The 16,321-nt window shown below is 44.0% G+C and overlaps 1 protein-coding gene across 3 annotated transcripts in view; it reads right to left on the reverse strand.

Annotated features, from left to right (window-relative positions):
* Positions 1 to 12,138, reverse strand: part of ARHGAP6 (Rho GTPase activating protein 6) — a 528,377-nt gene extending 516,239 nt beyond the window's left edge. For all 3 annotated transcript variants that reach the window (NR_109776.2, NM_013427.3, NM_006125.3), the window contains exon 1: positions 10,459 to 12,138. Coding sequence is in view for 2 of the 3 variants with exons in the window: in NM_013427.3 (NP_038286.2) it covers positions 10,459 to 11,046 (588 nt within the window). In the remaining variant the exon portion in view is untranslated. The remainder of the gene's footprint in view (positions 1 to 10,458) is intronic.

A 16,321-nucleotide genomic window follows, 5' to 3' on the forward strand; every position in this document is an offset into this window, starting at 1 on the left:
GGTTCAGAGTCTAGCTGAACCGATTCACTTCATTTTCTCTGCAGCTAAATCTGCCTACCTCTGAATCTGAGTCTCAGTGTCCTCACTCATAAAATGAAGGTTGATACTATCACCCCACAGAGTTGTTCTAAGAACACTAAACTGGCGTGCATTCTACAAATACTAATTGTTATTTTGTTTGTCACCATCATCATCATCCTCACCCATCAACGATTATTTGACTGAAATAAGTGAACAAGAAATCACCTGGAGGTTCTAATTTGAGCAGAATTACACTTTGCTCAGAAAGTCTGCTGGCCCAGTCCAGGATTTCCCTGGACAAAATTACTAGCTATATCAAAGCCCTTGTTATATTAAACGCTGAGGCAGCATGGCTATTGTTGCCTAAGGCTTCTCTTTCCCCTACTCCATCTATATCTGGGCCTCAAAGTACCAGCTTGCCCAATTGTTTTTCAAACCCCTGAGAGATGAAGTTATGAGCAATACAAGCTGAGAACTGATCCAATGCTTATTGACACTTCAGCTCCTATAGGTGGTATTAATTCACCTATTTCCATGAGCTGTCCACTTCTACAGAAATGAAAACATGTTATTTTCTTGGTCCATCAAGCCACATAATTCAATTCACTTCCAATTTCTCTAAAGATGAGGAGAGCTTCTCAGGCTCAGCATTCTCCTCTTGGATCCATCAGCATATCATTCGATAGGTGGTTTCTAGAATTACTGTTACTTCTAACGGCTCCTGAAAATCTTAGGCTTTTTAATAGTTCAGGTGAGATAAGGCCAGGCAATTTTTCAAGATTGTAAGTAGTTTTTAAAATCTCTGCCTCTCTGAAAAAGCAATCTTTTAATAGCTTCTCTGTGCTTGCTTTCAAAGTGCAATAATCAGGACATCGAATTTCCACAGTAACCAATCTCAGAAAATCCCATGGCTGGCTGCCGACGACTCTGTTCAATCTCCCAGAGCCGTTACTACCTCCCTAGTTTCATGTTGAATACATGAAGCTTCAACTGACTATATAACTACTCTTCTACATTTATATTTATGTTTTATTGAAAACAAGATGTGGCAACAACATATTTTCTGAAAATTATAAATATCATTTTTAGGTAAAATTCACAGACCATATAATTCACCCTTTTAAAGTATACAATTCAGTGATTTTTTAAATATATTCACAAGATTGTGCAACCATCACCTGTATCTAATTCCAGAACATTTTCATTACCCTAAGAAGAAACCTTATACCCATTAGCTGTCGCTCCACATCCCTCCCTACCAGCCTCTGACAACAAGTAATCTTTTTGTCTCTATGGATTTGCCTATTCTAGACATTTCATATAAATAGAATTATACAATATGTGGACCTTTGTGACTAGCTTCTTTCACTTAGCATAATGTTTTCAAAATTCATCCAAGGCATAGCATTCATCAGTACTTCATTCCTTTTTATTGTTGAGTAATTTTTCATTAATCACATTTTGTTTAACCATTCATCTATCCGTTGATGAATATTTAATTGTTTCTACCATTTGGCTATTATGAATACTGCTGCTATAACATTCATATACATGTTTTGGTGTGGACATACATCTTCATTTCTCTTAGGTATATACCCAGAAGTAGAATTGCTGAGCTCTGGAGTAACTGTTTTATTTTTGAGGAATTGCCAAACTGTTTCCCAAAGCTGCTGCGTCATGTTACATTCTCACCAGCAGTGTATGAGAGTTCCGATTTTTCTACATCTTGTCAACACTTGTTATTATCTATCTTTTTTTATTATGGCCATCTTAGTGGGTATAAATGATATCTCATTGTAGTTTTGATTCACGTTTCCCTAATAGCTAATGAAAACATCGTTCTTTACCAGATAACACAACTAATTTCATTTTTTCACACATTACATTCCAAGGGTTTTTCTGCCATGTCGTAACATAGTTACAATCACAGTCTCACTCTCTTTATCTAAGTAATGGCTCAGAGAGGATGCAGTAAATTTTAGAACAAGATGTCACGCCCCAAAGGCAAGCCTCTGGGAATCTGGGAGAACTGCTATCTGCATGCAGACTCCCTCAGTCATTGACTAGATTTTGATATGAAACACACTTTCTCTTTTTCAAGCACCAGATTGGAAGAATGTGAATCTCACTATGAAAACATGAGCTTCTGTTTCTGCAAATCCTGAATGTGTCATGACATGTACCAGAGTCAAGCTCATTTATTTGGAGGCACCTGGCTGAGCCATAAAGTACAAATGGAGCCTTCTCAGGTAGATATGGGACCAAGTTATCAAAAGTAAAGTGAGAAGGAGAGGAAACAAAATCTATGTGGGGAATCTTTACATTAAATGGTAAAATCCATATCATTAAGCCCAAAGTCCAGCGAGACTTATTCTTCACCATCTTCCCAATCCCATAATCCATTCTAGTTGGATTTCTCTAAATTCTTGAAGCATGCTATGTTCCCTCTTAAATACACGCCATTCCTTCTCGCAGGAGCTCTGTGCCCTTTCTTTTTGTTTGGCAAATGCCTCCTCATCCAATGATTTCAGCTGAGACATCCCAGACCTGTTTATGCCTTGTATCAGTTTCCTATCGCTGCTCGAAATTACCACAAATTTTGTAGCATAAAACAACTGACATATTCTCTTACAGTCCTCAAGGTCAGAAGTCTCACTGAGCTAGGATCAAGATGTCAGTAGAGCTATATTCCTCCTGAAGGTTCTAAGAATCCATTTCTTTGCCTTTTCCAGCTTCTAGGGGCTGCTACAGCCAAGGGCTGTGGCTGCTTCCTCCATCTTCAAAGCCAGAAGTGTAGCATCTTCAAAATCTCTCTCATTGCCCTATCCCTCCCTCCTTTCCGCTCTCCCTCTTTCTCTCTCTCTGCCTACTTTCATCCTCATATCTCCTTATCTGACTCTGACCTTCCTGCCTCCCTCTTATAAGGATCCTTGTGATGACATTGGCCCCACCCAGACAATCCACGATAATCTCGCATCTGCAAAATCCTCTTTTGCCATGTAAAGTGGCATATTCACAGGTTCTAGATATTAGGACATGAACATCTTTGGGGGACATTGTTCTGTCTACCACAGTCCTCTCGTCAAAATGCAATTAACACTCTGAAAAAACTATAGAGATTAATTGATTTGAAGTTACTGCTTTCATAAACTGGAAGCACCTTGCAGAGCCATACCTATTTGCTCCACCTACATTCCTAGTGTCCATTGCATAGCTGGCATGCGATAAATATTTGATGACTATCTGTGTGAGTGGCCAGCTTGGCTTTGCTGGACTAGAGTTCCTGGGAGAAGGCAGGCTGAGATGATGTTGTAAAAGGCATTGAAATGACTAGCTAAGTAGTTTGGATTTTATTCTGTACACTCTGAGACCCATCAAAGGTTTTCAATCAGGGGTTAACATGATTACAATTGCATCTTTTGAGGATAAGTCCAAGATGGCAACAAGGAGAAACTGAAGGCAGGGTGACCAAGAAGGGGGTCACAGCAAATGAGAACCCAAACTAGGCAGTGACATTGTGAATGAACAGCTGGAGAGAGATGTAAGAACTCAGACACACTCCACTTCAAATCCTTTCTAGAGTGGAGCAAATGGGAAGTACACACTGCAGCGTTCGAAAACTTATGGAAGAATAAAGGAGGAAACAAAAAAGGGAGGAGTAAAGGCATTCTGGCCTGGTAAACCTAGGCAAGCAGAAGAAGAGCGATACCAACCAAAATAAGGAATACATAAAATGAAACATGTTCAGAGGAAATGGGAGGTGATTTGTTCTGTTTCAAACATGTAGAATTTGAGTCCATTGGGCATCCATGAGCAGATATCTAGGAAGAAATCAGAAAATATATATTGGGAGCTCAACTACAAGATTCCAGGTAGGCACAGAGTGAGGAGTCTCCCCCAGAGGGATGATGGTTGAAGTCACAAAAGTGAATGAGACAATAGGAGGGACAATGACCTGAAGGAAAAACACAGAACTGTAGGGTTGGCCAAGACAATCCCAGAGTCAGAGGAGTGGGAAGAAAGGTAAGGAGGAAACCAAGATTCTCTGTGTGTGATGGGGATAGGAGGAGCAGGGAGGGGACGTGGTACTCTCAGTTTTGCCCAGAAGTCTAGCCAAAGGAGTCTAAGAAGATTCTTGGAACTTAGGGAACTTTGAGAGAATAGTTTCAGTACGTAATCAGGATAAAAACTGATTGCCAAGGTTTAAGGTGCTCACCAGAGAATAAAAGCAGTCGTGGTCACTTACTTTTTCCAGAAGCTTGGCAGTTTATATAGAGAGTCAAGAAGGATTTCAGGGTGGTTCTGCCCTTGGCTCTTTGCCTGAGTTTGAGTGGCTTAAGCTTTACAGTCCCTCTCTTCAACTGTAAAATAAGCAATTTGGAGCTAGATGCTACCCAAGGTTCTTTCTGAGTCTAAACTTTGCTCTTCCCAACCCTCAAATCTCAAAATGTTGGTGAAAACTCAATTCTAAGTCATCTGAGAAGCTATCTTCACAGTATTCTCCATTAAAATTAAAAATTGCCTTCAGAAGGAATTCTAGCAGAGAGATAGCCTGAGAGAGAGTGTATGTGTGAAAGTTGAATAACTCTTTTTCCTAACTTAAAAAAACCTTAAGGCATTATACTGATTTCAGACAAAAATCCTTGTAAAACACTTTTTGTCAATTTCTTTTTGAAGCTGTCTTATTCTAATTACTTTCTCTTTGGTGACATGAATGAGCCTCTATTTTTAAACACAATATTTTTCTCTGCTGCATTTTAAAATTTAATTCCAGTTTCCATCATTATATATTTACCATTCACTTCTTCCCTATAGATATATTTAGAAATCCCTTATTTTTTTTCATATGCTCAATACCCATAGAAAGTCATTTTTTTGAATTTCAAAGCCTTGGTTGACATATACTAGATAAGAAGAGGAAAATGACAAAGAGTAAAGCCACAAGCATGAGAGAAAATGGTACTGAAAAGCAAAACCTGGAATTCAGTTTCTTGTATACAGGGCGTCTCAACCTCAGCACTATTGACATTTTATGTAAGATAAGTATTTGTTTGTGGGGGCTGTTGTGTGTGTTGTGGGATGTTTACCAGTACCTTTGGCCTATACCCACTAGACGCCAGTAGCACACTCCTGCCCCAGTTCTGGCAATCAAAAATGCTGCCAGGCATTGCCAAAAGTACACTGTGGTACAAACTTTCTCCTGGTTGAGAACCACTGGTCTTTATGATGATCTCTCTAAAACCCCCAGAGTACAGGGGCCAGATTTTAAGAATTCAAAGATGAGTAACAGTTCTGCTTTCAAGGAGTTCAACAGAGCAAGAAAAACTTTACTAAAACAGAGAAGTGGGAAATATAAAAGTATTATGTTTATATGCCAACTCCCAGTTATTTATAGGATGCATGCTTGGCATGATTTCCCCATGCCCACCTCCTCTGAGGATCTGTCCTCCACTTGTTTTATGCTTCTAACCCATGCTCCCCCAGACACCAGTTTACCTCTAAAACACATCTGATCATGTTACACCTCATGCTTAAAAATCACCAATTTCTCCCACTCTCTACAGCAGAGTTTCTCAGTCTCCACACTCCTAACATTGACTGCCAGATGATTATTCCTTGTGGGGCTGTGCACTGCAGGGTATTTAAAAGAAGCATCCCTGGCCTCCCACTAGATGCCGGTAGGAACTCCCCTGTGGTAGACAGAATAATATACCACCAAAAATGCCCACGCCCCAATCCCTAAAACATGTGAATACCTCATAGCAAAGGGAACTTAAGGTTTCAGGTGGAATTAAAAGTCACTAATCAGCTGACATTAAAATAATGAGATTATCCTGGATTATCCAGGTGAGCCCAATGTAATCACAAGAGTCCCGAAAAGAGCGAGAGAGAGAAATGACCACACAAGAAGAGTGGATGAGATGCAACTTGGCTGGCTTTGAAAATGAAGGAAGGGGGCCACTGGAAAAGGAACCACAACAGATCCTAGAGCCTTCAGAAGGAACACAGTCAGGCCAACACCTTGAAGTTAGCCCAGTGAAACCTGTTGGGATTTCTGAGGTCCAGAACTGTAAGACAATAAATTTGTGTTGCTTGAAGCCACTAAGTTTGTGGTCATTACAGCAGTGATAGGAAATTAATACACCACCACTTCCAGTTGTGTCTTCAGACACTGCCAAATGTCCCCTGGGGACAAAGTCACCTCCAGGTTAAGAATCACTGCTCTACACAAGTCCAAACTCCTGAGATGAGCACAGTGAGACGCTTCGTAATTACCACTATCCTACCTGTTGAACACTATTATCCTGCACACAGCAAGATACATCCTCTTCTCCAGGCACCCCAAACTTCACTTGGGCAACACTCAATATGCCTTCACTCTCTGCAGTTGTGATGCCCAGGGGCTCCTTGGAGAGTAATGTGCTTTGACCAGTCTCTCATTTTTGTTCATACCCATAATTATCCCCCCAGTAGAGGCTGGGTGTGGTGGCTCATGCCTGTAATCCTAGCACTTTGGGAGGGTGAGGCAGGCAGATGGCTTGAGGCCAGGAGTTCAAGACCAGCCTGGCCAACATAGTGAAACCCAGTCTCTACTGGTGCATGCCTGTAGTCGCAGCTACTGGGGAGGCTGAGGCAGGAGAATCGCTTGAACATGGGAGGTTGCATTGAGCTGAGATCGTGCCACCGCACTCTAGCCTGGGCAACAGGGTGAGACTCTCTCTCTCTCAAAAAAAAAAAAAAAAAAAAAAAAAAAAAAAAAAAAAAAAAAAAAAAACCCAACAGGTCTGATTTCTGACTTTATTCGGTCAGGCTTTTATTACATGAAAAGCCATGTGGTTGTACGTGTATCAAACTGCAGGTGCCCTAACCTGCTCCTCCAAACAAATTATTGCGCTTAGGGCCCTCTAAGTCTTCTTTTTTGGGAGCTGTAGAATCACCAACACCTCTGCGCCTTTGCCTGTCCACTCTTTTCTGCCTCATGAAGGCATCACTTTCCTTCTTCTCCTTAGAAATGGCAGTCATCTTTGAAGATCAAGTTTAAATGTTCTCTGGACAGTGAAGCCTTTCAAGGCCCCCCAAAGCACAGTGAATCATCACCCGCCCCTCTCTGTTCCCTCATTCTGCTGATCTTCTGTATTCCCCCTATCAGTTAACTCACCTGTCCCCTCATTAGACTATGAGCTCTTTAGCCTCTCTGCATTCCTAGTACCTACAGAAATGCGTATGCTCAAGAAATGCTTGTGCCATGAATGAAGAAAAGTATAGACGCCAGTGATATATAGAAATCATTTTAATTATGGGTTGCAAAAGTTGGCAAACTCCAGGTTAGCTATGGACATAATCCCAGCTCTGATCCACAAGAATTAGGAGAAGCTCAGGATTGAAATGAGACTTTATTCCTTTGCCTGTGATCAGAGTCAGGGGCAGAGCTTGGCTGCTAAGAACACAAGTTGAGAAACACGTTCCAACTGTGTTACCACGTACCATTTACCCTTTGTCTCCTCCATGTTTCTACTCAATAGATGATCTACCCAGCATGTCCAGGAATCAGATTTTGTTAAAGCAATCCTGAAACACGTAGTGAGGAAATGCTAACAAGATCGTAGCTGACTTTGCCTAACACTTCCCAGGTTTAGGCCATAAAATGGTCATTTGTAAGCTTTGAACGAGCACAAGTAACAAAGCTGCAGGCATTTGTGAGAGTCTTGGGAGCAGGGGCTGTTGTATGGACAATTTACGTTAAAAGCAGACAAGATTCTGAAAGAACAAAGTGGGAAATGGATGAGATCCATCAATGGCTAAACCTGAAGGTGAATTCTTAGGATTTCATATGGATTCAATGGAAGAGAAATAGAAAATTTGAACAGACTGTAAGGGGTACATGACTCCAGAGGGATCCTCGTGGTTTTGGAATCAAACGAAGGCGCCAACAAAGTTTAGGCCAGCTGTAAACACTTCTGTGGGCACTCTCTTGATGGCCAGCATGGGGTACTATGGGCAACCTCACTAACGCAGCAGTTCTCAGTTAGGGCGATTTTGATCCCCAGAGGATATTCAGCAGTGTCTAGAGACATTGTTTGTTGTCACACTGGTCTGGAGGAGTGCTACTCGCATCTAGTGGGAAGAGGCCAGGGGTGCTGCTAAATACCCCGCAATACCCAGGACAGCTCTGTAGCAAAGAATCATTCAGCTTCAAATGTCAATAGTGCCAAGGCTGAGAAACCCTGAGCCAGAGCAACCAGAAAAGTTCAAGAACCAAATCTATATGAACCAGATATTCCCTCCAGGGCCTCTAAGCAGCCTTGCAAGATGCTCATTGGCTGACATTTTGATGTCATTAGTAAAGACTCTCCTTTAAGGACCAAAGACTCAGCTTGCCTGCAAGTGAAAAGGACAGGCAGTGCCCAATAGGATACATTTTCTTGGTTTTTCAGAGGGTTCCAGGGCGTTAAACCTTTGAAAGGTAATCCAGGCCATTAAATTAGAGATCCAAGGGTTATGTTAGGATATCTTGGCCTTTATTAAACAAAACCAGGGTTGGAGCTACATGCTAGAGTTCTATCCAATCACTCCATGCCTGCCTCAAGCATAAAGGAATTTCCAACACACACACACACACATACACACATATTCTATGAGAAAATTCTGGCTTTTTGCTAGATGGCTACATCCTTAGTTTTAACCACCATGAAAAGGTAAAAATCATGGTAGATGAGTTTTGTGCAGACTGCCCACTGTATGGAATAGAAGCCACCCAGTATCACTGCAGTTCAGATCCTTGTCCATTAATTATGAGATGCTAATGGATAAGAAGATAATTTGCAACAAGTGAAATCATCTACAGCCACATGCCTTTTGGTCATAACAGTAATGAGCAGCATCTGTATACTATATTCCAAGTATGTATATGGTTGCTAAGAAAAGCAGAAATGTTCTTAATGATGCAATTAGTTTTAAGCACGAATGTTAGCTAGCTAATCCAAAATGCTGGCTTGCTTTTGTATTTCTCTTTCTCTCAACTTGTACAGATTAATCTGATAATGTGTGCTTCTGAAATACAATGAGAATCCAGCCCCTCCTAAAGACCAAGAGAAATTCAACATTTCAATTTTTGATGCTCTTTCTAATCTTGAGTTCCCTGGTTTGGAGGTAACATCTTGCCCTCTGCCTCGACTTTCCTTTCTACTGCCTATCTTTCTCAAGAAAATGGGCAAAAGACCTAGCAAAATTTGTTAGTTTTTTGTAATCTGCACCCCCAACACCTAACAGCCTCAGTTACTTTGACACAGTAACTAACATTAATAATATGTGATGCTAATAATTCTGATAAATGATGCTTATTTTTCTAAGGCGGTTTACTAAAGCCAAAGTCTAACAGTTATCTCACATTAACACAGCTGAGTATGATCTCAGATGCTATTTTCAAACGGTTTTCCTTGGTTGTGTATTTAGCCTAAATCTCCAGCAATTACATGGTATTTCATTTCATTTCTGTAATGCTAACTGTACTTTAAAATATTAAATTACAACTGATGGAATCTCCCTTCCCTTATGGAAACAGATCCAAGGCAAACCTATAGAGTTTGTGGACCGAAGGGGATAGGGGCTGTTCATTTTTAAAACAATTACTATTCTCTGAAAGTGTGTTATTTTCAAAGCGCCCATCAGTGACAGTTTCCCAATAGGTCAATTCACTATTTTTCTTAACTGGACAGCAAATATTTTAAGGGTATCTGATAGCTCCCTCTGAGTCCCCTATGTATTGTTGATTCTTCACTAAACTACTAATTGTTCTAAATGGAATTTAGGCATCAGCATATTTCCATGATCTTTCACACCCCTACACAGAGATTTTCTTCTTCTCCTAGGTTAAACTAATACTCAGTACCATAGATTTCTGAAATTGCCCCTTCAGGGAAAGAAAAGGTGAAAACTAGAGAATTCTTGTCCCCCCTGCCACCCAAACACACACACACACTCACTCATACAGTCAATGACACCCTCCAAAATAATGTTTCTGAATTCTCTACAGAACAAGATGGCAGACATATTTCAAAATATATTTCATCCAATCGTTACAAACAGCTTAGCAATAGATATTTGAGTTGGAAAAAATATCAACATTGGGTGAAGGGATAAGGTGACCCTTTGAAATTGCCTGCAGCACTAACAGAAAACCAGAACACCATCTCTTTCTCCAGCTCCCACGACTGCTCCAAAGTAGAGCCAACAAGTCCTACAAGACGCACAAGCGGGTGGCCACTAGGGACATCCCATTTCCAGGCACCATTTAGCAAGTAGAAGAGGAAAACCCACACCACGGAAACCCCTTAGTGGGTGCCTTGCTCTGTAAATGTAATGGAATTAAAGGCGGTCTCCTGAAACTGCCTGGGGGCCTCCTCCTTGGGCCGTGGGACGCGCAGCGCTGGTCCCTACCTCGGATTTCCACACGACGTAGGGGTGCCCGCGACTGTCGGGTGGGGACTGGAACTTCCTCTGCTGGAGCCACCTCCTAGGAGAAGCGAAGATGCCATTGGGGCCTCCCCCGGATGAACAGAGGATGCTGGAAGCGCTTCGGCTACTGGCTGGCCCGGCCAGGACAGAAGGCAGGTCCCAGGCCATGCTCTTCTTGAGGCCGCCGCGACCCAGGGGAACCTCATAGTCAAAGTGAAAGCTGCCGGATGGTGACTTCTCCTGCGGGGTGCTGGGTGTGGAGAAGGACGAGCAAAGAGGTCCAGGAGGCGGTAGCCTGGTGGCCCTGGGGGGCGGACCCCGGGAAGAGGACGCCAAGCGAGGGCCGAGACTCTCGGCTGGGAGTGATGGGGAGTAGAGGCGGCCCGCCGTGGCTCCCCGCGCACTGCCCTCCGCGCCCGCCTCGTCGCTCCCGCAGCCGCCGATCAGGGCCGGGTCCAGGCTGCGGGTCTGGCGCAGCTTCCTCTTGGAGAAGCCCTTGGCCGAGGCCGCGCTACTTGAAGCGGGCGAGGAACAGGAGAAGACGCTGTGGAGCAGGCTCTGCGCGGACATCTCGGCGGGGCTGCACCTGAGGACCACCTCCTCCTCCCTCCCTGGACGCTGGTGGCTTTGGGTCGGGAACCGAAAGGGACTCAGGCAAAGGTGCCAGGCGGGGCTGGCCCGGGGTTTGCCCAGGGCAGTGGAGAGCAAAGCCCAGCTCACGCGCCGCCGGTGCGCTCCAAGTGCCCCGGCGGCGGCAGGAGCAGCAGATCCATCACCAGCCTTCTAGGAAAATGGGTCTGGGGACCTCCTGCAGCCGCTAGAACCTTCCTCCGGAGCCCAAGACGCGAAGAGGGTCAGGAAGAGGAGGAGGAAGGTCAGGCGCTCGCTGGGTTCCCAGCTCCAGCCTGCCAGCGCCACTCCCCCTTCCTAGCTGAGGCGGGAGACGCAGCGCTCCTGCTCGCTGGCTCTGGATGGCCTCTAAGACTCCAGCAAGCTCCTCCTTGCGGCCCGAGGACAGTCCCGAGGGCCAGGGAGAAGGCTGCCTGGGCGTGCGCCCAGGGCGCGTCCACCGCGCTCCCGGCGCCGCGAGAACTTCCTCCCGCTCCTGAGCCGGGCGCCTGAGCTGCGCCTCCCTGCACTCTCTCCTTGCCCCGGCGCCCGAGGTTGCGCGCCTGGCCTCCGCTGGGCTGCTGCGCCCACTCTTCCGACTGCAGAGGCTCAAGGGTTGTTCCAAGCTCAAGGTTCCCGCGGGGTCTCTGTCTTGCTGCAGTGTGGGGACACCGAGCGTGCTGCGCCCGGGACCTCCAAAGACTGCGTGCCCACGGTGGGATGGAATTCCCGGCGGCGCTCAGCGCTCTCCGTGGAGGAGGGAGCTCAGGAGACAGCCCCAAGGCCGGGTGTGTGTGTTCCGCCGGAGAGGAACACGCTATTCGCAGCCCAGCCTTGGGCCCAGGGCAGACGCGGAGATGACCCCGTACGCTCGCTCTAGAGGCAGCGGGAAGGGGGCGGCCAGGACGTGTAGAGCTGGAGGAATGCCGGGGCTGGAGCTGGGGCGGAGCCAGGAGCAGGAGAAAGCAGAACGTGAAGAGTTTTCCAGGCGCCAAACCTGCAAGCGGCGAGGAGAGAAGGCAGCTCGCCACTGATACCGGGTCTCCTGGGGAGAAAGTCGTGAGGACGGAAGTGCGGACCTTCTCCCCCGTCTCCCCACCCCCAGATCAAGGGTCGCGCCAGCTCCACTCACGTTTCTGGAAAGGAAGGGAAGTGTCAGATTGCACCCCACCCACTGGTGTCAGATGGGCAGCCGGGGACGATTGCTCTGAAGTTGGAGTTAAATCTCCTGCCTTTTCTCCCCGCGCCCCCCCACCCCGCCCTGTCCCGGCTGTTTTTGTTTTTAAAAAGGAAGGATAGATAGGAAACTGTCTAAAAGCAGTGGCTGCCGATGAATGAGCTGGAGATGGAGACCTACTAAGAAAGTGGAGGGGGAGGAGCCTTTGCCGTGGAAGGGGTCCTGAGCACGTGCGGAAACGTGCTCTAGGAGGAGGGGTGAGTGAGGCCGGGTAGGGGGCAGGCGCCGGGCGCAGCTTCAGCCCAGAGGCTGCAGAGATTGGCGCTCACAAAGCGATCTGTCTCCGCGTCCCGCTCTGGGACGCCTCGGGTCTCAGCGCGGTGGCCACAGTCCTGGGAAGCTGGAGAACGCTGGGGAAATCAATCTTCCCGGCAAGGAGATGAGTCTGAAAGCAGCTTCTCCCGCTGTCGGACCCCTGGAATCTATAAAGCGCAAAGCCTCGCCCTCTTGGAGGGCTTTTTGATGTAACAGTTAAGCTTTGCAATGCAACTTACAACCATCTCAGCAGGGAGCAGACAGAATGTTGGAAATGTCTACTTTGTGTTTGTGTCCTCTTTTATCACTTAGGGATGAAGATAATTTTATATAAATGTAAAGGTGACTCTACCATTTCTTTTATTTTGGAGAAAAAATACAATGAAATTATAAATACAGATGTTGGACACGAACATTCCTCTTGCATATCTACCAGAATTGTCCAAGTTTGATTCTGGAAGACTTCCTTTATTCCCTATGACATATTCAGGGGAAAAGTTAATTTACTTAGACTCTTTGAAAAGCGTGTTTGGTGTTCCTAGGTGTTCAGCTATTTTGGAGGAGGTACGTCATGAAATCTAATTAGGAGAATTCGTTGTCTCCACAAAGGGCGTCGGGCTCCCAGGTCTTGGCTGTACTCGTTTTTTGTAAACGCAGCCGAACAGACTGCACCCTTAGAGATTTTTTTTCCGGTAGCTTTAATGAGCTATCTGCTGTCTGAAGACAGAGTTCGATTCTAGTTTCCCATCCCCCATCGCTGTCCATCTCTTCTCACCCTGAGCTTCTTAAGTATTTTCAGCGGCTGTCAATCAGGTGTGCTGCTGACAGGCACAGTGTTTAAAAAGAGCTCTTGCTCCCCTGCCTAACTACACCCAGGCCAAGTTACATTTGGGGGCTTGTTGGCATTGGCTTTCTTCCCTCCTCATACAAGTCACATTAGAAGTAAAAGTGTGTGGGTCTTGTCTGCCCTTTCTTTAGTAACAAAACTGTAATTTATCACTGGTAATGGAAACACTTAATGTCTCTACCACTGGGATACGAATGCATGGTTATGCCTCATTGCATGGTTATGCCTCAGTGGAGTTTGGCATTCGGGGTAGATGGTTAACAGAGTCACTTCACAGAATCACTTATAACTCAAGGGGGGTGAGCAACTTGATGATTGTATTTGATGATTTATATATTTCTCTAACCCCATATGATAACCATGGGGTAGCAAATGAACCCCTGCCATGACTGTATAGGCTAGTATGAATGCCCCCAGGCACAAGGGCATACATTCTTGCTCATGGGTGTTGGAGAGCCAACCAGCAGAGGGATTCTTCTATTAGCACTCCTAGGGCTTGGAACACACACATGCCAGTTAATTCATCATCTAGTTTCCAAGTGTTCCTGACCCTCCAGGAAACTGGAAACTTGTGTCATTGTTGGGAACAGTGAATAAATTGTTTTAAATATTAATCAAATTAGACTGGGGCTCCTTTTAAAAACTCAGTGTAAGTATGTGTGCTTTTAATACCTGGGGCAGGGGATGTTGATGTTCTTCTAGAAAGACTTTGTAAGAATTTTTTTGGATTTTTTTAAAACTATTTTGATTTTCAACCTGACTGCTATTAGGTTTACCTTGCAGTCATAGTGGCTTATGGTGGATTCATTCATTCCTATTTAAGGCATTCTATTTAACTCTTGTTTGTTATATATTCTCTTTGTTTATATAGACTCAACTCACATTGGCCTTTCTGATCAACTGTCAGGTTATGCCAAATTCAGTTAAGGAAGATCTATGGGTTTTGGTTACCAATTTCAAAAAATGGCTGGTTTTGTTACATTGCTTCCCAGAATCCTTCTTACAATTCATCAGCTAGCTTCAGAAGCATTATAATTGGTAGTCAAGAAATAAATAGTTTTAATGTATATGCTTTCAAAAGCAGGTTTCTAAGACTTTGCTTTGCTTCTCTATTAGGGCATTTGATATTGAAAATAGTGCCTATATTTGTTAATTTTTTCCTCAGAGACAAAGTTAATCAAAGACTTGGGATACCTTTCATTAAAGAGCAGAACATTCTGTTCACTATTCATTCCCAATGATAATTATTGTAGACATCTAGGATTTAAAAAACATCTTATGCTATCTATTCCATCTGGTCATGGCACAAGAATATTCCAATGGAAGTTCTAGAATCCTTGGACTGACATCAAGCTATCCTCTTATCAGAGATCCTAGAAAACTCATCAGTATTCTTTCTATTCCCTTGAGAGACTGTTCTACAAACACACACATCTTACTATCAAAGGATATATTCTGATGCTTAACCTAAATTTCCTTTTCCTTAACTTTATCCCTTGAAGCTTTTCATATCTCCAGCCAAAATTCCTCTTTATCCTTGGTGTTTAGACCCCAAAGCTATTTGTAGATTTTTATCATGCCCTTTGGGTCTGACTCTGTGGTTTGGCTACACTATAAAGTTCATATTTTGCTTTAAAACCATCACTGTAGATGATCTTTTCTGGACTCCCTCCAGTTGCTTTTGTTTTTCAGTCCTGAGGTCCAATATTCCAGGTTAGGGCATCCTATTTTGCTCTTGTTTGTTATATAATCCCATTGCTTAAACAGTCTCAAATCACACTGAACTTTCTGATTGAGTGTCATATAATATTTCAGACTTCTATCTGATTGGCTCCCAACTTTTAGCATTGTTGATTTTCATTTCATCCTGCCCATGTCTCTCAAACTGATCATGATCCCCCGATATCATTTCTATGTTCTTAGTGGGTAAACAGTTCACAGCATCTCACTTGCCCATAAAAGTCCGGGTTCTGTCTCCAAGCTCCTGAAACATGAAAAAGAAGCATCATTTAAATCTGTGTGACATGCATGGAATACATGAGAGATATGTGGAGAAATTTTACAAGGCTTAAGAATGCAAATTGCATTAAATAGCCCAACTTCCCCATGCCTGAACTAAAAATGTTTCTTTAGATTCCTATGCCAGCTGCCAAAGCACTTAAATTACAATCGACAAACGTCAGTGGAGGTAAACCTAGAGTCTTTGAGTACAGGAAATTTTTGTCTTCTATTACATTTATATACCAACAGGCAAGGTTTTTGGCTCAATATTTTGGATCAATTTCACATAGCCCAGAATTGGAACCATGAACCCTCCAGGTACACACTTGAGGTTTTAATATTCCTCTAGTTGATATCCAGACCTGTGAAATTTTTTTTTCTGACGTTATATTCGGAAACCCAAATGACTATTCTTATTCATCTTTCCCAGTTTTTCCCCACTCTGTGTGCCTAATTTTGCCATTTCTCACCAATTGTGACCTTAAAAAATTAAATTCAGTAAAAGAAAACGACTGTATCTGTGTCAGCATCTGCATTGAACACACGAACATCCACTTGCAACATTGTCCATTTTCTCATTTTCTGTGCAAATATTAGCAACATGTTCTATGTTTTCTAGTGTTTAATATTTATCTTCTAGACTTAAAAAAGCAGGAGTTTGGCATAGGCACATTTTCTGCCTTTTCGCTTACATGTTTATTTCTTGAGCAGGTATGAGTACACTATTTTTTTCTTCTTTTTTTTTTTTTTTTAAATACAGTTTCACTCTGTGGCCCAGGCTGGAGGGCAGTGGCGCCATCTTGGCTCACTGCAATCTCCACCTCCCGGGTTCAAGCGATTCTCCTTCCTCAGCCTCCTCAGTAGCTGGGATCACAGGCACCTGCCACCATGCCCGG

This window comes from Homo sapiens, chromosome X, assembly GCF_000001405.40.
Source record: "Homo sapiens chromosome X, GRCh38.p14 Primary Assembly".
NCBI classification, from domain to species: Eukaryota; Metazoa; Chordata; class Mammalia; order Primates; family Hominidae; genus Homo; species Homo sapiens.